The 24,859-nt window shown below is 41.1% G+C and overlaps 1 protein-coding gene across 11 annotated transcripts in view, besides 1 other annotated feature; it reads left to right on the top strand.

Annotated features, from left to right (window-relative positions):
* The window catches only part of PIEZO2 (piezo type mechanosensitive ion channel component 2), a 479,323-nt gene that overhangs the window by 361,809 nt on the left and 92,655 nt on the right, over window positions 1-24,859 (top strand). For 4 of the 11 annotated variants that reach the window (XM_017025918.3, XM_011525726.4, XM_011525723.4 and 1 more), the window contains 8 exons: window positions 577-725; window positions 2,804-2,977; window positions 7,395-7,436; window positions 13,197-13,253; window positions 13,723-13,755; window positions 14,132-14,349; window positions 17,453-17,613; window positions 24,663-24,839. In XM_017025918.3, the coding sequence (XP_016881407.1) occupies window positions 577-725; window positions 2,804-2,977; window positions 7,395-7,436; window positions 13,197-13,253; window positions 13,723-13,755; window positions 14,132-14,349; window positions 17,453-17,613; window positions 24,663-24,839 (1,011 nt within the window). The remainder of the gene's footprint in view (window positions 1-576; window positions 726-2,803; window positions 2,978-7,394; window positions 7,437-13,196; window positions 13,254-13,722; window positions 13,756-14,131; window positions 14,350-17,452; window positions 17,614-24,662; window positions 24,840-24,859) is intronic. The other 7 variants (XM_047437735.1, XM_047437736.1, NM_022068.4 and 4 more) reach the window with 3 other exon arrangements.
* Window positions 17,026-18,225: an enhancer, noted in NCBI's record as "BRD4-independent group 4 enhancer chr18:10769534-10770733 (GRCh37/hg19 assembly coordinates)". NCBI's record gives its function as "activates an origin of replication core promoter dependent on BRD2, P300/CBP, MED14 and CDK7 cofactors, and independent of BRD4, by STARR-seq in HCT116 cells {active_cell/tissue: HCT116}" and the evidence as "EXISTENCE:reporter gene assay evidence [ECO:0000049][PMID:35650434]".

Genomic DNA, 24,859 nt, shown 5'->3' with positions numbered 1-24,859 from the left:
ATAAACAAGAGTACATAATATGTTAAGATAAAAAAATCTCAAAAGAAATCAGTGAACTTTTGAATACTCTTAAAAATTCAGGATGGATGTTCTCTAATGAATATCCACAGCTTACGGTAAAACGAGATGTCTTTTTTCTGTGGTTGGTTCACATTTTCATTCATACAATATTGCTTTCAATTTCAAAATGGATGTGGTTTTCTCTGAGCAATGATAACCACAATGACAGCAGCACCTACCCTACTGTTCCTTGAGCGCCCCCTATGGGCCAGATAGCTTGCAGGAACCCATAAGCAATATCTATTTCATCCTCGTAGCAACCCTGCAAAATAGGCACTTATGGAAGGTTCAGCCTCTTCCCCACACAGTTAGCAATCATTTATAAAACTGGGGTTCTAACCCAGGACCACTCCACTGTGATAGACACGGAACATTAAAAACTAGAAATGAAATAGACTTTATTTTCAGACACTTGTAAATGTATCACTTGTCTTACTTGAATTAAACCAAATATTTTTGTGAGTTTTCCTAAAAGTGATTTTTTCTCATTTTTTTTTTTCAATGTCTGATTTGCAGGTGCACTATGAATGGTGGAGGAAAATTCTAAAATATTTTTGGATGTCAGTGGTTATTTACACTATGCTGGTGCTTATCTTTATATACACATATCAGTTTGAGAACTTCCCAGGCCTGTGGCAAAATATGACTGGACTGAAAAAAGAAAAGTAAGTGATTTTGAGTTGAAAATGATGAACAAGATGAAGACTTGAATGCATATTGTTCAAAGCATCTTTAAGGAAGATTTTAGTAAAGCATGATGTCATCAATGTCTATAAGTTCCTCAATAATAGAAATTAAAACTGAGTCGTTTTTGTGTTCTCTTTACTTAGCCCTTAGCTTAGAACATAATAGGCACTCCATGAATTTTCAGAATTTTAATGAAATGACATTTTCTAATGTTAGTTTCATGTGAAACACACCTAACACTTAGTCGTGCTTTCTGCCCTCCACATTGGAGCTCAGTTCTTCAGTTCTTAAGTAAGTTCATGCACTTATAACATAAAGTAGCAGACTTTGCTCATTTATGTTGCTGGGTGCTTAGATTCTAAGGAGTATTTAGCGCCAAAAAGAAATAAATTTCTCCAAGTGCTCATAGACTTGTGATGATGAGATGGTGTTCCTGTGCATGTGGGAGATAGTGCTCTATCCTTCTCTAATTTTCTTCTGTAAACTTCTGAAATTAGTTTGGAAATCCAGCCAGCATTGGGTTTTGAGCTGAATATATTGATGTGGCTGAGAAGGGAAGTCCCTTAAAAGTCTCTGTCCCTTAGAAGGGAAAGATAACTGTGTAACTACACCAACACAGCTGAAGTGTCTATACAATAAGCATTTATTAAATGCTGTCCATGTGCTGACACTGTTTTGTGCCTGGAATATGACAGGGAACAAGACAGACAAAATCTAAGCCCTGTAGATCTTATATTCTAGCAGAGGAGACAAACAAAACTATTTAGTGTAAAATAAGTCTATTATACTTTGTGACAGGTCTGTGAAGGAAACAGACAACAGGCTGAGGCAGTGAGTAAGGGGGAACTATAAATGAGTGACTGGCACGGGCTTTGCTGAGGAGCTGGTTTAAACTACAGTTGAAGCATTAGAAGAAGCTTGTCTTAGGAAAAGTGTGTGAGTTGGAGTCTGGGGTGTGGAAGGACATTTCAGGCAGAGGGAACAGCACATGCAAAGGTCCTGAGGCAAGTCAGAGTTTGGCACAGTTCATAAGAGGAACTGAAGACAGGGGGTGAGTGGACAGCGAAGAGTGGGGAGAATTCAGGCAGGCAGCTGGGATGTGCATGGCTTGTAGGTAGCATTATTTGTATTTTATTCTTGGTGGAATTTTCCAATCTTTAAAGATCCCTTGACTAGCTGAGAAAAAGCGATGTGTGGGAGTAGAAACAAGGAGACTAGTTAGTAGGCAGCAGCAGCGGTCCTGTGAGAAATGATGGGAGCTTCCCCTAGATTTGGTGGAGGCAGAGACGGATAACAGGAGTGGGCAATTCAAGAGGTGCTTTAGGATGCTGAAGGAAATGTGGATGAATGAGATATGAAAGAAAAGAACACAGGAGGCGTCTGACTTCTCAGTTTGCGCAGGGTAGACAGTTGTACCATTTATTGGTTCAGGGATACTAGAGTGGGGAGAGGGATGTGGAGGACAGCTTTGCCAAGAAAAATAGGAAAATCAAGAATACTGTTTTGGAAGCACTAATATAAAATAACTGTGAAACAACCAATTTCCAGTAGCAATTTGGGCACGAGAATCTTACAGGAGGAGCCTGCGCTGTAGATGCACTTTGAGTCCTTGGTGTAAGGATGATGTGTAAATCCACAGAAGAGGATTTCCCTAGGGGGAAAGCACAGCTGGAAGAGAGATCAAAACAGAGTCCTGGGGAAATTTCAGCCTCTAGAGGTCCAATAGAAAAGGGGGAGATCATGGAGGAACAAGAAACCAAGAGAGTGTGATGGTGTCAAGACCACACTTGCTTCAAGGAGGACCAGAGGTTTAATTAAATAAAGCTGAAGAAATAGTCCTGGAATTTGGGAATGTCAAGGTTTATTATTGACCATTGTTAAAGTAGGTTAGCTGGCTTGGTGGAAACGAAAGCCATATTGGACCATATGGGAGAGAGGGATTCAATAAACGATAGACCTGACAGGAGTGTAAGACTGTGATGTAGTTTATCACAAAGAGTTTGTGACTTCATTGCGTAAGAGAGGTTCCTGCTTTTTATTTTGTTTTGTTTTGCAGGCTTGAGGATCTTGGCTTAAAGCAGTTTACTGTGGCTGAACTATTCACTCGCATATTCATCCCAACCTCCTTTCTGCTGGTGTGCATTTTACACCTGCACTACTTCCATGACCGGTTCCTTGAACTCACAGACCTCAAGTCCATTCCCAGCAAAGAAGACAACACCATCTACAGGTGAGCCACTGGAAGAAACACAGACCTCTTATTAGCAGGAAGGCAGCTCTTCAACCCTACCTTAGGTTGGCCACCTTGCGAGAAGCCAGTAATCTAAAAGTTTCAGCCTTGAATTTTCCATGAGTATCAGCTTGTGAGAAAAAGAGGAAAACATGTGGAAGATTCTGTGACACGTTCTGAAACAATGGGTAGTGACTTATGACTGGTTAATGTAAAGTGATCTTGATCGTCTTGTGAGATATTCAGAGTAGCTGTGGAGACTTAAATATTTTAGAGTTGATATGTGTATTTGTGTCTAGGCTGGTTATATGTTTTTAGAACATTTAGGGAATCTGGCTAATTCAGAGGATTTTTCCATTATGCCAACCACAAGTACAGAAGTCTTGTGAGAGCATAGCAAAAGATGATGGGCAGTTTTCCCTTCCACTTTGGAAATAAAGAACTTTGGCTGAAAAAACAGAATCTGCAATTGACTAGTAACTACAATCATATTTAAGAGGACAACATGATGACAATATCTTCTTTTAGCAGCTTACGGCTGTTTTATCCTCATCAATAAATATACATTGTTTGCAAATAACAGATGGGATATTACTTTTCCTGCCCGTATTTATTCAAACCACAATGGGTTATCACAAATCCTTCACTGTGTTCCATCACGGGGAGATCACAAGCATTCTTTTAGTGAACGCTGACAATGGTTTTCCTTTCTGCCTCATGTTTAGCCTATGATTCAGATATTGGAAAAATACTTGTTAAGCAGCTAAGGGAGCAAAGGGCTGTATTGAGAGGAGCACAGAGGCCACGGATGAAAATTCTCCTTAATTATTTGACTTTAAGGGAAAAAATGCAGGTATCAATAGAAGATGAAGTAGGAGTTCATGATATGCATTTCGTAAAATGCCAAACTTCCAGCGTTCTGCTGTGTAGGAACTAGAGTTATGGATAGACCCAAAACATTTATTTAATGATGAGAAACATTTTATAATCCTTGTTTATGACCAGCAGATTCACTTTTCTTATTGTGTTGTGTTTCGCCTATCATTCTGATACTTCAGATGACTCGTAACCCATGGAACCAAGAGGTATCAATCAGTCATGACTTGTTTTGCTATCTAGCCACCAGGAAAATCAGGCTCTGCTAAAACCTCTCTGCTCCCAAGGCCCCAGCAGGGAGGAGGGCATGGATGGGGTCAGTGGTTTACCATCTCCATATCTGTACTCCTGCTACCTTCAGTGATGATCAAGCATTAGGAAAAATAAAGTAGTTATTAGAAGTTTGGGGAACCCTAGAAGATATCAGTCATAGACAAACTTGATGGGAGGGAAAATCACCCCAAGTTTAAAAGTTTACAAAGAGAATGCCTGCACATAAAAGTGAGAATTGTCAATAATCAGAAAAAGGATTTTTTTAATCATTATTTTGACATTGTTTGTGATCTGTGTGGATAAAACTAGTATTTGATATTTAATTCTGACCATGTAACATGTTTAAATTTACTATAAGCCCTCACCATTCTTTTCAAGGGCCCTATTCAATAATTACAAAGTATTTTAGTTAGCAGAGCCAATTTATATGTTTGTGAAGGAGTTGTAATTATTAAGCATTGCTAGTGAAATCTTTTTTAAAAAAAAATCTTTTTTTTCTTCCAAATGCCATTTCTTCTCTTGCATATTCATTTTTTTTTCTCACTAAAAGTGCCTCCAGCATGCAGGAACCTTTTTCTTGCCATTTTTCTTAATGTGGATGTGTCTGAGTCTTCTGTCACGCAATCAAACAGAGATATAATTCACCATTTATCCAGAAAAGTAGAAACATGCAGGACCACAGTTTTGCAGAAGACAATTTGGTTCACCAGCCTAGAGACTCCCAAGGTTTGGACCTAGCGTATGTGAAAACTGAATTAAGGTCCCACAGAATTCCCTTTAAGCGTGTATAGCAGTGTTTAGCCTATGCAGGTTCTGGGGAAAGACTGCAGCCCACGTCAAGATGTAGGTTCTATGTTTCCTCAGCTGCCGCTTCACAGCCCTTACCCTGCACCCCATGGCAGAGAAGAAAGATCTAAATGATCTGTACCGATATGAGTCCTGACTTGCCTTCCTTGCAGCTGTGGCTTAGCCCTAAGCACTCCCTTAACGGTGAATTTTCCAAGTAAATGTAAAGGGTGAGGAAAGAGTGTGTAATGCCAGTTCTCTGAAGAGTTTAAGGACATAGGATTTCATTTTTCGTTCTATGAAAATTTTATAATATATATTATATAATATAATAATATATATAATATAAGAATATAATATTTAATATAATATATATTATTTAATATAATATATATACTATATAATATATTATATAATTATTTATATATAATTATAATATATTATATAATTATTTATATATAATTATAATATATTATAATTATTTATATATAATTATAATATATTATAATTATTTATATATAATTATAATATATTATATAATTATTTATATATAATTATAATTATATTATATAATTGTTTACATATAATAATATAATATATCATATAATATATAATCATATATATTATGATATATATAATTATATGATATATAATATGATGTACATTGATATATATTAATATATAATATATAATTATAACATTTTACATATAATATATAAAATGTTCAAAGCTTAATATATAATATATATAATGTTCAAAGTTTAAATATATATATATATTTTTAGCAACTCTTCCTCATGGGAGTATTTTCCTTGCTCATAATTTTCACCTCACAGTATTTTTTGTCCTTGGAGTCCTAATACAATGGCTACATTAAAATCAAAATGATGAAGAAAAAGGAATATTTTGAGAGTTAGGATTGACTGTCAGGCTTTGCTTTCTCTGCTCCTGCCTCCTAAACAGTTGCTTTACAAGAAATGGCCCACAGATCAGGAATAACCGATTCGCTCGTTAAGCTGATTTCCACACTGTTGTCTCTGGAGATATGCAACTCTTATTTTCCTGTTGTGTCACTTGTTGGTGTATATGTGCTTATGCACACAGATGTAATGTAGGCACATGTCACTTGTGTATGAAGCAGAATTTATTATGTTTAGACTTACAGAATTTACAAAGTTAGCCTTATGAAAATGTAATAATATAGGAAGAAATTATTATTCCTAAGGAGGCAATCTCAGGAATATTATTTCACCTATATATTGATAGAATTTCATATTATAAGAATTATAACGTATAACATTGTTTATTATATAATATATAATTAGCAATGATTTACAAAGGACTATTTAAATATTCATTACTGGTTTTTTTTTTTATTTGAAACGGAGTCTCGCTCTGTTGCCCAAGCTGGAGTGCAGTGGTGCCATCTCGGCTCACTGCAACCTCCACCTCCTGGGTTCAAGTGATTCTTCTGCCTCAGGCTCCCAAGTAGCTGGGACTACAGGCATGTGCCACCATGCCTGGCTAATTTTTCTATTTTTAATAGAGACGGGGGTTTCACCATATTGGCCAGGCTGGTATCGAACTCTTGACCTCATGATCCACCTGCCTCGACTTCCCAAAGTGCTGGGATTACAGGCGTGAGCCACCACACCCGGCCATATTCATTACTTTTATAGCTCTTTAATTTATGCAGGTTTGTTTTAGAAAGTATTATTATGCATAGAGAAATGAAATGACTTTTTTTAAACTATAGTTTTAGCAAAACCTTAGAAAACAACATGTTGAATATGGCCGCTGAGTAGGATCCTTTTTTTTTTTAATTCTGGGGTAGCAGCAAAAATTAATTTTTTAAATTATATTTTATTTCATAAAATGTACCTTGAGGCCAGGCACTGTGTCTCACACCTGTAATCGCAGCACTTTGGGAGGCTGAGGAGGGTGGATCACCTGCAGTCAGGAGTTTGAGACCAACTAAGCCAACATAGTAAAACCCCATCTCTACTAAAAATACAAAAATTAGCCAGGTATGATGGCATACACCTGTAATCCCAGCCACTTGGGAGGCTAAGGCAGGAGAATCACTTGAACCCAGGAGGCGGAGGCTGCCATGAGCTAAGATACGTCACTGCACTCCAGCCTGGGTGACAGAGCAAGACTCTGAAAAAAAAAAAAAAAAGGTACCTTAAAAAATTTAAACATTACAAATTTGTAATAAAGTGTGTGAGATGGAGAGGGATGAGAAGAAGGGAGAGGCTTGTTATCTTTTAGCATTTTTCCTGAACATTGTCTGATTTAATGTTGCTACTGAATCTTGCTGTCTAGACTCTTCTTCAAGGCATGAAGCCTGTGAGGGTGGCTACACTTGATGCTAGGAAGCTTAAGGGAGTCCACTTTGTTCGTCTCTGTCTAACAGTCTCCTCTCTTTCTCTCCAACCTGTCTCCTCATTGCATCCCTGTGCTTCCGTCTGCCACCTCGTAGCCATGCCAAAGTCAATGGTCGCGTATATCTAATAATAAATAGGTGGGTACTTCAATGTTTTCTCTCTTATTTTTGTTCGAAGCTATTTCTTGCTGTGTTAAACTCTTAACTGCTTTATACATGAAAATCGTGTTGTCAGATAGTGGACACTGGTCTTCAGGTATGCTCATGGATGTATTTTGCAAACCAAACCATTTGGTATCTGTACCGACTGGTGCCGTCAAGTGGATGTGGAGGCTGTTGAGGGTCTTCAGCTGGTGCTCAGCCTTTGGCCTTGGTTCAAACTTACGTCCCATTCATTCTGTTCTTTGGTAGAATTAGTGCAAGGCTTGCCTGAGAACTCCCCTCCCTCTTGAACACATAACTGAGAGCTCAGCTCAAGAACCACCTCCTCCACAAACCCTCCCATAAATGCCAACATTCCTGCTAAGAGTAATCCGCCTTCCCTCTGAACCTCCGTAGCACTCCATCACTGATGCTGTCCCGACACTTGCCTTCCGGTCCTCTGTCTGATCTCCTGCCTGCTTGTCTTATCTGCCTTGCTAGAGTAGGGGCATAACCTTCTCAGATCTGGACTCCCTCTATGATTCACCAAGATGTCCCCATGTCACCTAACCCCAGCGCCTTACCCATGAAGTGATATTTGATAGCTATTTCCTAAATGAAAAGAAAGTAGTCACAATATATGGTTTTAAAAACATCACTTTCTTCAAATATATCTCTACTTGAAAGATCAACATATTATTGAAGAGGGATATTTTACATCACCAGATTTCATATGTTTGCACAGCACAAAAGGCACTGAGATGGCACTGAGATATGGACTTTCCTTCAGATGCATATCACCTAGCTAGGGAGATAAAACATATAATGTCCACACAAAATAAAAAGCAAGTTTTGATAAATGTCGTGCAATAGGTTATCCTCCAGAGTTATCCTTTGGGATCTAACTTACTAAAACTATTTTACTTTACTAAGTAGGTGAATTAAAATATTCACTCTTGTAATTGCATGTCATTAGTAATAAAGCTAGTAATTTAGTAAGAGAAATATATCTTGCAATAAATCCAATTAACAAAATAATTCTTCAAAAGATTTGTTGGTTTTCTACCCCGTTCGCTTTTCTTATAGGTAAAATCCTAAGGCAGACAACCAAATTACAAACCCTAAGAGGCAGAACTTCTAACCAAGTATGAAAAGCAGAGTCACTTGTGGATTGCTGAGGGAGGAGGAATGAACGAGGCCTGTCAGGTTTTTTGGGGGCTGGTTTTTGACAACCTGAAAAAGAAACATCAACAACAGGTTTTTCAGCTGATAGGAAGAGAAGTAAGAAACAGACTCTAGCTAGAAATCCTGAGCAATAATCTAAATCCCATCCCTCCAAACATAAGGAACTCCTCACTCTCTTTTTCTCTGTGTTTCTTATGAAGCATTTAGCATTTGCTTTGTAAAGAGAAAGCTGAGACCCATAAGAGGGCAAGAGTTGGTTTGATGGGCTCCCTTGGCAGCAACTCGTATGACTTTTGATCCCGAAGGACGAGACTTATATCATGAATGGGAGCTTATGCCCCTTATCCCAAGCCACAAGGCCAGCTAATTCTCTCAGGACTTCTTAGAAGTATCAAAGTTCAAAGTCACCCCAAATGACCAAAAACTTGCAATATCCCATCTTTACCTTCTTTCCAGTGAAATCTCCTATTTTTGTGTGAATATAAACATGTTAAGAGCAGCCAGAGGCCGGGTGTGGTGGCTCACGCCTGTAATCCCAGCACCTTGGGAAGCCGAGGCAGGTGGATCATGAGGTCAGGAGATCGAGACCATCCTGGCTAACACGGTGAAACCCTGTCTCTACTAAATATACAAAAAATTAGCTGGGTGTGGTGGCGGGCGCCTGTAGTCCCAGCTACTCGGGAGGCTAAGGGAGGAGAATGGCGTGAACCTGGGAGGCAGAGCTTGCAGTGAGCCGGGATGGTGCCACTGCACTCCAGCCTGGGCGACAGAGCGACTCCCTCTCAAAAAAAAAAAAAAAAAGAGCAGCCAGAGCTGTGCCTCAAAGGAAACGTTATCAAACAAGCCTGTCCCTCATTTTATAATGTGTGCTTCTGAAATGCTGTATGCAGTGTTGAGTAGGGCTGATTATCCATTAGAATGACAGGGTGAATCCTTTAATAAAGTATATAAGCTTGCTTTCTCTCATTATTTCTTTATGTTCAGTGTTTTATAAGGAGAATAAAATGTTTATAAATGTTAGTTCTGGGCTGAAAGAGGGGCATACCTACAATTCAACTTAAGAGTTGATTAAAATTTAGACATGACTTTACAAGTTGTAAGGTAGGGTAGTGTATTGAGGACAGTAGGCCACTTTGATAACATTTTAAAAATATAGATAATTGTGGTTAAGTTGCAACTGACCTAGTAAACAGTATACATTTTACCAACACACATAATTAAGATGTAATATTCAATTCACAAACCAAGTGCCTATATGTGAATACAATCTTCTGAGAGTGCTTTTGAGTTCTAGATAATAATTTATCTTAAACAGTAAAATTATTTTACTTTAAATGTTACTTATATTAAACACTACACAGGTGCAAGTCACCTTTCTGCTAATAGTCTAATGATAACAGTGTCAGTGCAGTTTATATTACCACATATTCCAAATTAGAATCATAAAAACAAATGACATTCAGACTAAGGAGATTTTACAATGCTAGAATTTCCATTTTCTTTAATGGAAAGTAGTTTACTATGCAGCTTTTCAAAGTCAGGTTCTTGTACAGAATTAACCCTCTTTGAGCGTCCCTGTCAAGTAATTTGTTTCTTCTGTTTCAAATAAGGATGTATCTCCAGTGCATAAAATTTCTTCACCCAAGATTCAGTGAATTATAGTGCACCCCAGGCACAGTACTACATTTTGTAAGGGTGATGAGTAGAGCAGGACTGGATTCTGTCTTCAAGGGGAAAGTCCCCAGAACCCATACTTAGAATAAAATGACAGAGTCACAAATGGAGAAACACACACATTGGGAGTTGCACAAAGCTGTGGAAGTGTAGAGTGAGTGAAGACACAAACAAATACTTGTCATCTGCTCCGTTAGAACATGAAAGGAGAGAGCCATTTTGCTTAATGGTCAGTGAGAAGGTTAGAGCTCAGAGCCTGAATAAGAGCAAGGAAACAAAGTTATCAGTAATGTTAAAGAAAACCCTAAGAGAAGAAATGCACTTCCTGTGGAGAAAGACATCCAAAGCAGCCTGATTGAAGGCAGTGGAGGAGGGGGCTTCTCCGGGAATCCTGTTCATCATCATGCGTATTATTTGGAGTCCCAAAGTCAAAATCCTGCATATGACCACTAGGTAATTTGCACCTGATATTCAGTAAAGAATTATAAGTCTTATAAGTTCCTTAGCCTGAAGCCTGATGTTCAGTAAAGAATTACAAGTCTTATAAGTTCTTTAGCCTGAAGTTTCCAGGAGTATTTTTACTAGAGTGGGTTTTTAAATTTTGTTTTTGGAAAATCAAGATCCATTTTCTTTTTATTTGCTAGGAAGGAAAAAAAAAGCTGAATTAAAATACACAGGCTTTCCCGGAGAGTCCATACAGCTGTTTCTTCTAGCAACCGCAGCTGGGTCTGCCTCGAAAGCTTGCATTTGTGCAGAACCACCTCTGCCGCTCCCACTCCTCAGGGAATGCAGTAGTTGAGATTACACACAGAAAGCCCAGTAAACAGAACCCTGAGACCATTGGGAAACAGATTCCCGATGAAGAAATGTTTGCTCCTTTTTTTTCTTCTGAATGGCCTTCTATAAAATAGCCAAGTTCTGTTAAAGAAGGCGCTGATGACAGAATCATAGTCTAAGTTTAATACCTTCCGTATCATCCATCATTGTGCAGGCTCTTACAAAAGCATGTTTCTAATTCTGCTTTTTCTTTACAATGAATTTATGATGCAGATTATCAAACCATAATATATGAAAATCTACCATTAGAAGATGGCTCCTTATTTTAAAATGTTTCCTGTGTAATTAACCACTGTGTTAACTGCTTAACAGAAACCACCTTAATTTTTACAACCTCCTATAAATAGGCACTACTGTTTCAGCTAACCGAGACTTAAAAGATAGGTTACATAGCTTTCCCATCTCACCTAGCTAGCAAGTTTTCTGGTGAAGACTTGAACCCAAGTCTTTTAACGTTCTTCTCTATGGCCTCTAAAAACAATGTTACCATAAAAATGAGAAAAAGAGAGAGAGAAAAGTAAAAGGATTCACACAAGTGTCTTTTTGAAACAGTATACTTTATTCATGCATTTAAAATATTTTTATCTATGTTTTATGCACACAGTTTTTTACAATACAAGGTACAATTCTCTGAAATTTCTCAAGATAGTTAATAAACCCCTAGACTAGTAAATGACAGCCTGATACATAATTTCTTTTTTTTTTTCTTTTTTTGTCATCCATTACAAGCTCATGAGGTTAGACTGCTCCAGAGAGGGTCTGGAGTTTGTGGCTCTAAGGTCAGAGGGAATGAGCAGTGTTGGATGCAGAGATGCCCTTCTCATTTGTCCGCAGCTGCATCTTGTCCCATTACAAGTTTCTAGAAATCAGCCTTGTGGACCTACTTCCAAAAGGCTTACTCCAGTGTCTTCCTCTGATTCTTTCATTGAACGATCTCTCCTCAATGCACCCTGCCTGTGGCATGGCAGTTTGGGGGCATCGTTGCTTAAGGACATCTGCTGTGTAGCTGTAGTAGCAGCTGTGGAAACAGCCTCCCCTCTTTGAGTTTCACTCTGTTAATAGCAGTAATTGTTAGAAAGTAGTTTTCTTGTCGTATGAGATTGCAGCAGTGTCAATGTAGACCTTTAAGATTCACTCTGAGGTGGTCCCACCTCACACTGCAACCACCGAATTCCTTGTCTTAATAAAGGTATCTTTTCATTTATAAAATGCATCCCTGAAGAGAACAAATACATACTGACGACTGTGCAGCAGCCGATCACTTCCACATTTAATAACATTTCACATGGAGAGTCCTGACAAAGCAGGAACAGCAAATGTGTTCCCTGAGATTTGGTGTGTGGCACTGGTATAGAAGATATGGGTTGCAATTTTAAGAGTAGCTAACTTCTCCAAAGTCGAGAGGATGAATTGACTAGCTTAGGAAAATAAGGAAGTAGTATGTCAGCCTAACTCCTTCCACCAATGTAAAACTCGCTTCAGATTCTCTCTCTTCATTAAATTAACAATCTGTTTCTGGCATACTATCATTTACCTGCTGGACATCCTGTGCAAGGGAATTGTTTGAATGATAATCTAAAAGCGTAGGGACAATGTGGATTCCTTACGACAGTTACCCAAAATGATAGGCATGTTTACAAATATCAAATCAACAAGTTGAAAGTAAACCTGCATTTTATCTAATCAAACTTCCTCATTTGGTAGAAAATTAATTAACTTTCACAAAGTTAAATAGTTTACTCAGAACCTACAATTATCCAGATAGAATAATATTATTTATTGTCCATCTTGTTTGAACCCTGCTAAAAATTTCTGGATTAACTATGATAAATAGAGAAGACTATCAGTATGTCTACTAGGCTTTTTCTTAATGTAGACTTTATTGCCCAGAAGTTCTTTAAAACATTAATTTGAGTATGAATAAAAAGATATGCTTTTAAAAAAAACTGTAGGAGAAGGATGGGACTTGTTATGGTCCACTAAGAAATAAACTGTAACATCCCAGGCTGCTGAGTGGGCTCACCGGAAGCTCTCTCTCCCTGTATTCTTTCTCTGGTTCAGGATCTCACACAGTCTTCCCACGGTTGCCAATCGACAGTTCGCATCAGTAACTCTCAGGTGGGGACATGATGCAGACGTCTCACTCCTGAAAACACTTAGCTTCCATGGCACATGCTTTAGATGGCAGAGTGGGATTCGTCTACACAAAGGTTGACTGAAAGCACACATTCTTTCAAGAAATTTTTAAAAACTTACCAAAAATGTGAATGACTTGATTCTTGCAAGATGGTTTGTTGCGTTACTAAAAAAGCATGATATAATTTGCCTCAGCAGTCTCAGTATGCTCTCTCCTTTACAAACCTGCAATCCTGTCCACTCTCAGATCAGTTGCCATGCCTAGGGTTCAGAGCAAAGCACGCTATTGATGCCACCCTGGAATGCATTTGGCATTAGGGCGTTACTGCAACAGGCATACAGGAATGCAATAGTGGATGATATGTAGCATGATATGTGATCTCTGACATTCCTTATAATTCTTCTGTTCTCATCTCCTTTTTTTCCTTTCTATTTCAATTACTATGAGCAGCATCAAGAAAAAATTACCAATCCACCAAAATGAGTAAGTCCCCCTGTGAAGCCATGAAATGCTTGCTCTACATGATGCCATTTCATGCTTCTACACCCTAAACTCTGACCATTTTCTCCTCTGGGAAAAATGTCAAGTTTAGGTGTTGATAGCTCTCATTACCAACTAATCACTAGAACCCGAATTAAAAAAGCTAACAAAACCTAACCAAGTTTACAGTTTGTTTTTAGAAAGAACTTAAAACAAACAAACCAACCAAAAAGAAAGTGACAAAACGCTAACACCCCACCTTGTGAGGTCTTTGTACATGCACTGATTTCATTTGTGTTTATCCTCCTTTTACTTGCCCCTCAGTCAAATCTCTCCCAACACCCTTTCCTCTTCTGACTCAGCTGCTCTCTGCCAACAGACTGGCCCACCCGGAAGGAAGCCTCCCGGACCTCACCATGATGCATCTGACTGCCAGCCTGGAGAAGCCGGAGGTGAGGAAGTTGGCTGAGCCTGGGGAGGAGAAGCTTGAGGGCTACTCTGAAAAAGCCCAGAAGGGTGATCTTGGGAAAGACAGCGAGGAGTCAGAGGAGGACGGAGAGGAAGAGGAGGAATCCGAGGAGGAGGAAGAAACATCAGGTAATCAGCCCACTACCAGCAGCTGGTCAGAGAACGCTGGCTGTCAGACTGAGTGAAGGAAACATTGACTTGCTCCAAAAGAATATATATTTGACCCAGTCCATGACATAAAAATTGGAGTGGTTTTTGTTTGATTGCTATAGTTATAATATTACTGTTCCAATTGCTCCAACAATTTCTTTTTAATTCTGACTGAGTAGAGACCAGACGACTGGTTATCAGTGACTGACCCTCAAGTAGTGCTCCTGTCTAGACACTGGTGGGGCATGGTGTTGACCACGTCCTCAGTCAGAGCCTCTCTGTTTCTACCAGATGCAGGTACAACCTGGCTGTGCAGAATCTCAAAGGCTCTAGACATCGCCCTTACAAATGCATTCTCAAGAAACCATTCTGAGACTTTTCCAGGAAGCCAATAATTAAGAATATATTTCTAGCTCTGATCTGATGCCTAAGGACATGGGAACTGGAGGAGAAAGTCAGCAATTGGATAATTATAATTTCAAGCAAACTCCTAGAGATGTTTTTGTCAATATTGTTGTTACAGGAGTTTCAATCTTTATTATTTGGGCTCTTCTTTTCTACTTCCCTTCCTAGACTTGAAATAATGTTTTAATAGAGCATGATGAACATTGAGCAGCCTCAGTGATCAGGACATGTTATCTGACAGAGAATATAAAGTCTATGTAGCAGTTTCCAGAAAGACTGGGACAAACCAGAGAGCATCATCTCTGGGGTGAGGTTCTGGGGCTATGATCTTAAGATGCTGCACTTGTCTTTGCTGGTCAACTGTCCTTAACAAAAGTAGAAAACAAAAAAAGTAGCAAGAAGACCCCTTCCAAAGGTTTGTGCCCCTTAAACCTGGTGTTCTTTCCCCACTCATCTCAGAACACAGAGGAGAGGACTGGAAACGTTCTCTCCATATCTGAGCATTGTGAATTCCTCAGTGTGAAGGGGAGACCCCAGCTCTGTGAGGCCAAGGACTTAAGTCTAGGATTTTATGACACTACTTCAAGATGGATTTTGAGCTTTGCTAATAGGTCCTGCCCAAAATTGCTCAGCCACTTTTCTCTCAATCCCTCATGTCTGTGGCAGCTACACGTCTAAATCATGCTCATTTATTACCTACACCTTTTTATTGACTACCATCTGAGTCACTCTCTAAATACAGTAGTCCTGCCTTAGCCTTGGGGGACATGTTCTAAGACTCCCAGTAGATGCTAAAACCTCAGATAACACAGAACCCTGTATACACTATGCATGAATTTCTTTTTCCTTCTTCACAATTACACAGATAGAAGAGTTGTTCTTACCTTAGATCTTAGCAACCTCAGCATACATTTTTTTCTTTCGTTATTAATAAAATTGAGAATTGTTAACCATTCACTTAAAGGAAGCATTTTATGGCTTCTCTCTGGCATATTCAAATTGCCAGCATCACTACTCTTTCACTTGGAGCCATTAGAAAGTAAAATAAGAGTGACTTGAACACAGCACTGCAATACTGCAGCGGTCACTCTGAGAACTGAGACAGCTATTAATTGACTGACCACTGGGCAGGGAGTGTAGACAGCATGGCCCTGCTGGACAAAGGGATTCACATTCCAAGGGGAAGGACAGAGCGGGACAGCATGAGATTTCATCCTTCTACTCAGAACAGTGTGTAACTTAAGACTTCTGAATCATTTCTGGAATTTTCCATTTAATATTTTTGGACTGTGGTTGACTGCAGGTAACTGAAATCTTGGGAAGCATAGCCATGGATAAAAGAGAACTACTGTAAGCATACTTCACAATAACTAGAACCTTACTTAGCTTTCAGAACCAGGCACAGTAACTGTTGCATATACCCAAGCCAGTTAAAGAAGCTACTTAAAGAGATACTTAGGACTTGTAATCTGCCAAGACAGACTTGTAAGCTTTTGTTTACAAACAAGACAGGCTGATATTACAAAACAGTCCTGCTGTGACTTTCAGTCAATAAAGTGAGCCAGCATAGTCCTTCTAGATAGAAGCATGACTCCTGTTTTAGCACAAGGTAGAAATAATAAAATAAGTAATTTGATTAAAAATTATCATTTGAATGAATCTGACCATGTTTCAGAAAACCACGGGCTGAGTCATTCTGATGCTTAGAGTTCACTTCTTGTTCTGACAAGGAGCAAGCTCTTCCTGCCCATGCAGGGCTCTGACTGGTTCACTTTTTCATGGAAACCAGAGAGCTTTACCACTCACCAGTTAAGCCTTGTCGAAGGAGACAGGCCATTTATAAAAGTGCCGTTGTGGCAAGAAAGATGTCTTTTAGAAGGAGTTAAGATTATTTAACATTCCTAGAATATTAGAAAATTATAGTTTGGTCTTAAGAGTAAATAAGATTAAGGGGGCTGGGGGCATGGGCGCTCATGCCTGTACTCCCAGCACTTTGGGAGGCTGAGGCTGGTGGATCATTTGAGGCCAAGAGTTCAAGACCAGCCTGGCCAACATGACGAGATCCTATTTCTACTGAAAATACAAAAATTAGCTGGGCATGGTGGTATGTGCCTGTAGTCCCAGCTACTCAAGGAGAATCGCTTGAACTCAAGAGGCAGAGGTTGCAGTGAGCCGAGATTGTGCCACTGCACTCTAGCCTGGGCTACAGAGCAAGACTCTGTCAGAAAAAGGAAGGAAGGAAGGAAGGAAGGGAGGGAGGGTGGGAGGGAAAAAGAAAAGGAAGAAAGAAAGAAAAGTAAATAATGTTGATCATGCCACTGCACTTCAGCCTGAGCTACAGAGCAAGACTCTGTCAGAAAGAGAGAGAGAGAAAGCAAGCAAGCAAGCGAGTGGAAGGAAGGAAGGAAGGAAGATAATGTCAAAATCCTTCTTTACACTAATTTAATCAAAAGGTGGACAAAAGCCACATTGTCCCTCCAAGTCTGAGAGTATGATATCTGTGTCATCATGACTTGGGATTCTTACATCATCCTTATTCCAGATTTTGGTTTTCTTAGAATTCATCCACTGTAATTATTTTGCAGCCTCTCATTCCAACCTGAAAGTTACAAGATATGCTTTAAATGATAATATTTTTAAAAATGTTATGCTCTTGTCTGTACTTCCTATTTTGCAGACTTAAGGAACAAATGGCACCTGGTGATTGACCGCCTCACTGTGCTCTTCTTAAAATTCCTGGAGTATTTTCACAAGCTGCAGGTGTTCATGTGGTGGATTTTGGAGTTGCACATCATCAAAATCGTTTCCTCTTACATTATCTGGGTTTCTGTGAAAGAGGCAAGTGAACATTTGTCCTATCATCAGGCTGAACAGAACCACAGTAGGTCATCATTTTCCTTTTCCAGCTGTCCATGATTTTTTTAATGTGATCCGCATTACATCGGAGTATCAAGACTCCAAGACTAAGTACTTACACTTACAGAAATCCGAGGGTCAGCAGCACTGAGAAAAAGGAAAGAGGCTCGTGGCTGAGTTTCTCGTTGGCTTGGTCATATTACAAAGGCTACTTATTTTCATCGAATCCTTAGGGAAGAGTGTGAGAGCAGGCTGCCCTTCTGCCCCTGCCTATGGGAATCTATCTCCCTAAATTCTCCAAGGAAAACAGTAGCATTCCAGTTTACATTACCAAGGAGAAAGCTCAGGTTCCAAAATCTAATAAAATCTTTAGTAGAGTTCACCTTGTTTACTACTGGATTTCTTGAGATACAATACAAAGTCTTCAGCCATGCACCTGTACTGCACTTCTGTTTCCTTGATTGTAAAGAAGAGAGTCGTCATCCAGCCAACAGATTATTTAATGTTCACTGCAGAGAAATTAGCTTTCTTTCCTTTTATTCAACAAATAGTGTTTGCATACTTCTATATGCCTGGATTATTTCTGAGTTGGTTACAATTCAAGAATTCTTTGCCCTCTAAAAATTAATCAAGGGAGTACTGCCTATAATCTTTAAAAAGTTACATATATAACAGTAAAATATCACAACTACAACACTACAAACCTAAAACTTTTCACAAATAGGTAGCTAAGAGATGAACCTTAATTTGAGCTCCATAGTCTAAACTAGAACTTCTCCCCCATTTCATACAAACCATATGAAATGGGCAGGGAATCATTGCCAAGTGGGAATGAAAACAGAAGCCATTCTATCTGCGAGATTCGTGGGGAAATGGCAGCGGCTCCAATGTTAAGTCACTGGGCGTATACGTTAAATGGAGCCCAAATCTAGCCTAGTATTTATATTCATTGAGAGCCAACATTTAAGCATTTTAACTGTAGAGGTGAATTGAACAGTTCAGATAAAAATTTCAGGGTTAGGGTATTAAAGAGAAATGGAAAAGAACAAGAGAAGGCATTTGACAAAAAATGCACAGAGACCATTTCTGAACAAATCCAGTCTGAGGTACAGGTGACTTCTGATTCATGAGAAGCTGCGTGGCAGGGTGTGAAGGTGTGTTCAGACAGTGTGGTGATGGGAGTGGGCATTGGGGGAGCGGAAATTCATGGGAGTCGGACGCAGAGAATCTGCTGTCATAAATCCATCCTGTTGTACAATCCATCCATCAGAAAAGGGTTAAAGGATGCAATTTCTTATAGATCCTAAACAAAAGGCAGACATAACTTTTTCATTATCCTTAATGAGTCCCCAGACATAAACTTGTTAACAGACCATCAAGTAAACAGAATATCTAGTTACCTTGTTACACTCTTGGGAAAACAGCCTTCCATAGAGTATCACCACTCCCTTCTCTGTGATTCACACATTGTGCAGACTTTCAGAATTTTCATTCCTAATTTCATCTCTCTCACCTTTAACTTTAAAACAAGTGAGAGACTCCTGAAGCATAGAAATCCTGCTCTTTCTGCTGCTAGCATCTGCCAAATCCCATTGCTGTAAAATTGTTTCAGCCACTCGTGTTGTGCGTGATGTCACCCCACCTGCATGGGGGGTTTCCGGCCCTGAAGCTTTGGTCTCTGGGTTCTTGACAGTGTGTGCATTGCTGGCTCTTTCTAATGTAATTGGCACACTAAGCAATCAATTTGGTGATGACATCCAATCAAAAGACTTCTCTTCAGACCCTCATGGTCCCTTTAGAATGCATCCTACAGGGAAACTTTCCTCCGTGTCCCTGAACACAGCGCACTTTCTGATCATTCCTAAGAAATACAAAATCCTACAGTGACTTAAGTGAGCAAAATCTCACTTCAGTAGTTAAAATTGTGCACCCACAGAGAATCATCGAGACTCGGGTCCCTCCCCAGGTAGAAGCTCCTCCTTTCTTATCTGATCCTTTCTTTCTCACCCACATCTCCTTAAAATCCACCTCGCAGAGGCTCTTTAGTCCTTTTTTAAAAAAATCCACTGTACAGAGGCTCTTTATTCCTTCTTTTGTTTTATTCTTTCCTGGGCTGGAGCTCAGACTCACAGGCTCAGGGCAAGGCCCCCTGGGATGGGGATGTTGTGACTTGGCCTGTGCCATCCCATGATGGCCTCACGCTCTGGGCTGGCAACTGGCGGGTAAACCTGCCCTTGCCCTCCTGGAGGCTCCACGGTGGGGCATCCCACAGCCACTCTTGGCCGGCACTGACACCCAGCCCCTGGTTGCCAGCACCTTCTCCTCCTGGACTCCTCTGTGGAGTCCTGCTGCCCTTCCAGACAGCCTTCCCCGCAGCCTTGGAGCAGCTCTGGGTGCTCTGTGCCTCCCCATCAGGACCAGGGGCCACCCTCACACAGGCCCTGCTCTGCTTGTACACATGGAGCCCAGCAAAGAGACTCTGCACCCTGTAACCAGAGCTCTTCATCTCTTCTGGCCCCATGGGTACCAGTGCCCAAGCTCCAGGGTTCACGCATCGGGCTCCGAGTCATTAGCTCCTCACTCGGGCTGCGCGCAGAGGACGTTCTCCTCCCTGCATCCCCACCTGCCCCATCATCTTGGCACTGGGGGCTTGGGGGACAGGCAGGATGCAGCCCCTCTCCACAAAGAAAGCTCTTCAGGAGCTGTGGCAGCTCTGGGTTCCAGACATCCTTACCCAAGGCCTCAGTAAGGGTGCTTGTTTTCACAACTTTTGGGTTCATCTCTCCTGCAAATATTAAACCTTTTCAAAGTTAGCATCATGAAGCATCTGAAAAAGAAGAAGTTGCTGGAAAAGAAACAGAGAAACCTTTATTTTCCATCAGCATCTTATTCAGGAGTGACACTGCTTTGGAATAATCTAGATTTAAATATATATATAGTATACATAAACATTTTCTCCTCCTTTTGAAATACACAGCTACTTTCTAATTCCGAAGGCTATTGGACAGCTCTGTGAGGTCAGTGAGTCTTGAGCAAGAGCCACACTTTCTGTTAGCACCTCAGCTCCTCCCTGGGGGGCCTGGCCAATTGGAGAAGGAAGGGAAGGGGAGGGGAGGGAAGGGGAGGGGAGGGGAGGGGAGGGAATGGAAGGTGGGAGGAAGGAAGGAAGGAAACTTTTGCAGACCTGAGGTTTCTCCTTCTTGTCTGTCTCATCATTGTTATTATTTTCACTCTCACTAAGCATTCATTGAGCCTTTATTAAGGACTCACAATAAAGTGAATGCGTACATGGTGCTAGGTGCTAGTGTAGTAGCTTGAAAGACACACTTCTTGTCTGAGCTCACAGCCTGATGGGAATGGCTGCCAAATAAAACTAAAAGTGATAATAACTGCTGTGCTAGAGGTGTCCACAGTGAGCACTTGCTGCACAGGGAGGAGTATCTCTTGCAGGCGGTTGCAGCCTGGAGGTGATAGTTGCAACTGGGGTTCTCTGGGAGAGGGAAGCCAGGGATGGGTAAGTGCAGGGCCCAGGAGGCTTTGGTTCTCAGAGGCCCCTTCCCTTGAGGCAGGGCCCTCAGGCCCCACAAGGTTATATTCAGATAGGATGACAACCTGTGTACAGGGCTTTTTTGGGAAAGCACTATTGCATAAAACTGTTTCTCAAAATCCTTGATAGTAAGAATCACCTGGACAGTTGTTATGTACGTGGACCAGCATCTATTTCCCTAAAATTCTAATTCATCAGGTGTTGGTTGTGGCCCAGGTATTTGTCATAGTCATTGTCCTCCTCCTCCTCCTTCTCCTCCTACTTCTCCTTCCCCTTCCCCTCCTTTCTGCTTCCCCTTCTCTCTCCCCTTTTCTCCTTCCTCTTCTTCTTCCTTATCCCTCCTCCTCCTCCTGTTCCTCCTTCTTTCTTCTTCTTTCCTTCCACGAGATTCTTACCATCAGGAAAATGATGAGATCATGATCTCTTTAGATAACAGAACTGTGAGAGGGCAAGGCGCACTGAGGTTTGCACTGGGCTTGATATTTGTATGGAATGAAGTATCATACTTCATTCACTGAGCCCCAGTTTTTCTATTTGTAAAATGATAAAAATAAAAATATTCACCGCACAGAGGCTCTTTAGTCCTCCTCTGATTTGACTTCTCTAGGATGCTGAGGACAGGGGATCCTTTCCTTGTCATTGAAGCTCTCCTTTCTCTTGTTTTGGACATCAGCTCACCTTCCCGGCCCCTCCCCACAGTTTCATCAGGCCCTTCCTGTCTCATTGCTGGACTCATCCCGCCCTTCCCACCAGCTTCCTCAGCATGTTCCTCAGTCTCTGTCCACAGCGTGTTTCTGTTCTGGACTCTCATGGGTGAGCTCACGAGCTCACAAGCACAGGACTCCTGCACTTGCTGCGAGTCCCAAAATCTGTGTCAACTCACTACTCTCTTTGAACTCCAGGCCCCTGTTTCCACCTGACAGCTGGGCCTGACCCCACTTCTTGAGTGGCCCCAAAGCTCTTTCAGGTGTCCTACTCACTCCCTCTGCCTCCATTGCCCTTTAGATTACTCTTACAGATTCCCAGCTTTGCCCAATCCTTTCTCCTTGCAATACGTATTCCACAATGCGGCCAGAATAGTCTTCCCACAGGGCAGATATGATCATGAGAGACTTCTACCTGAAACCTTGCAGCAGCTGCCTGGCATCCTCACCGTAACGTGGTATAAGACCCCCGGGATCCAGCCCACACCACTTCACCTTTGCCATTCCTGGACACTCTAAGACGCTGGATGGGTTTTAAAGTCCCCTGACAGGTTTCAGATCACACTTCTCTCACAATGAATCACTTGCTTCTCCAAGGATGGGCAGCCCATGCTCTCCCAAGTCTGGAAGGACCTTGGACCTGCTATTTCTTCTGCCTGTCTAACTCCTGTTTATTCGTCAGGTCTCAGTCCCCTTACGCTGTCACCAAGTGCCTGTGTGCCTCCATCTGTCCCTCCCACATGCCTCCTGCGGGCAGGGAATCCTCAGGGGATGTGTCACCTTGAACCTAGTTAAGACTTAATGAAAGTTACCACCTTTACTTCCCTTTCTCCATCACTCAGAAAATTAAAAGTTCTGAATAAATTAATTGTGCTGTCTTTACTAAAGGCCTTAGATACATAATAACAGACATAACTGAGTTAATTTCACAGCATCTTTAATAGGGTTTGCTTTTTAATATCCAAATTGACGAGACACTTGTTGATGACTATGGAGGAAGAGTCAATTCGCTAATCTATCTGTTTTGTTAAAAGGTAACATGTTTATGAGTGAGTTATGGTTTGCAGGGCCTTTCCATGTACAGTATTTCTTTCATCTTCAATTAATTCTATAAGGCATCTCTTCCTACTTTAATATTTCAGCACTTAATTCTCAGAGAGCTTCCTTGCATTGGACAGTGACAAATAGTTGAGCAGAAGAGTAACAGGTAACAAATAGCAGAATTAAATACAGTCATGTAGTCTCCACATTTTCTTCTTTTATAATTTTTTAAACTTTTTTTTTTTTTTGAGACGTAGTGTCACTCTGTCACCCAGGCTGGAGTGCAGTGGCACGATCTCGGCCACTGTAGCTGGGATTACAGGAGCCTGCCACCACGCCCGGCTAATTTTTTGTATTTTTAGTAGAGACGGGGTTTCACCATCTTGGCCGGGCCGGTCTTGAACTCCTGACCTCGTGATCCACCCACCTTGGCCTCCCAAAGTGCTAGGATTACAGGCGTGAGCCACCTCACCCGGCCTCTTCTTTTATAGTTTTATAAGCCAAGTAGGTAACTATGTCTTTTAGAGCCCACAATGCTTAGCCCACAATGCTTGGTACATGTTTAGTTGTATCAAATGAGAGCATGCTATTATTTCTACCTGAGAATATTAAACATTTCTAGGATATTACTTTAACATAAAAATATGCAGAATAAATGAGCGTTTCCCATGCCTGAAGAAGATGGTGGTCCTTCTATACTGTCCAATGGACTATTAACTATAAAGAATTGCTAGAAATGTGGGAACATCTGGCCTGATCAACGAACTCGCATGCAGCCCAAAGTCAACAGGTTCAAGCTGAGTTCATAACCTTGCTGCTCTGACCAGCTTCCCTATCAGCGTTGCTGTCTCAGTAATGGCACTGTTATCCACTCAGGCTCCCAAGTGGAAACCTGGGAATCACTCCTTGAACTTTCTGTCTTACCCACCGGCCCACCAAGCCAATCAGTCATCAAGTCCAGCTAATTTTGCCTCCCATGTTGAATCCGCGCCTCCTCCCCATCTTCCCTGGGCTATTGCCGCGGCACGTGAGTGGGTCACCCAAAAGTCGTGTCCAGTCCCCACAATGGGCCCTCCATTCATCAGTTACATTTATCTCAATAGGAAGCAAATCTTACCTCCAAATTCCCAGTGTAATGCCCTTCCACAGCTCTCAGTTTTCTGAAGAATGGGCTCCCGTGCCATAGCATGGTGTAAAAAGGATCCATCAAAACTTGGCTGTAGCTGCATCTCCAGCCTCACCTCCTGTTGCACTTCACACTTTCAACTCTGAACTTTCCAGTCGTTTGTTGTTGCCTGTCCCCACCATGCTAGCTCATGCTTTCCTGCCTTCATTCATGCCTCCTTTACCTAAAGAATCCACCTCTCATCTTTCTTGGCTTGGCTTAGTTCAGGCACTGTCTCTTCTTGAAAGTGCTTCCTGACCTCCACATTGGACCAAGGACCCTTCTGGGCGCTCTCACAGGAGCCTGCCCACATTGATAGCTTAGCCAGTGCTACATGATATTGATGTCACCTGATGATATGTCTGTCTGCCATACAAGACATAATGCCCTTGAGGGGTGAGACCATAACTCACCTACTTTAGTACCCCAGCACCTAGGGCAATTCCTTGCGCATGCTAGGAATCCAGTCTGCTTTTGCCGAACTGAGTAAATCAAGTCATCCTGTTTTGTGGCTGTCCTGTTTGTTATGCCGTGTTACGTATTTTTGTCCCCATTTCTGGTTTTACGTTTTCAGGTGTCTCTGTTCAACTATGTATTTTTGATTTCTTGGGCTTTTGCTCTGCCGTACGCCAAGCTGCGCCGTCTGGCTTCAAGTGTCTGCACAGTCTGGACGTGTGTGATCATCGTCTGCAAAATGTTGTACCAGCTCCAAACCATTAAGCCTGAGAACTTCTCTGTTAACTGTTCCTTGGTGAGCCTCGGTGATGGGGG

The sequence above is a fragment of the Homo sapiens genome, chromosome 18, assembly GCF_000001405.40.
Source record: "Homo sapiens chromosome 18, GRCh38.p14 Primary Assembly".
Classification (NCBI taxonomy): domain Eukaryota; kingdom Metazoa; phylum Chordata; class Mammalia; order Primates; family Hominidae; genus Homo; species Homo sapiens.
The sequence above is the reverse complement of the archived record's forward strand: the minus strand, read 5'-3'. Positions and strand labels throughout refer to the sequence as shown.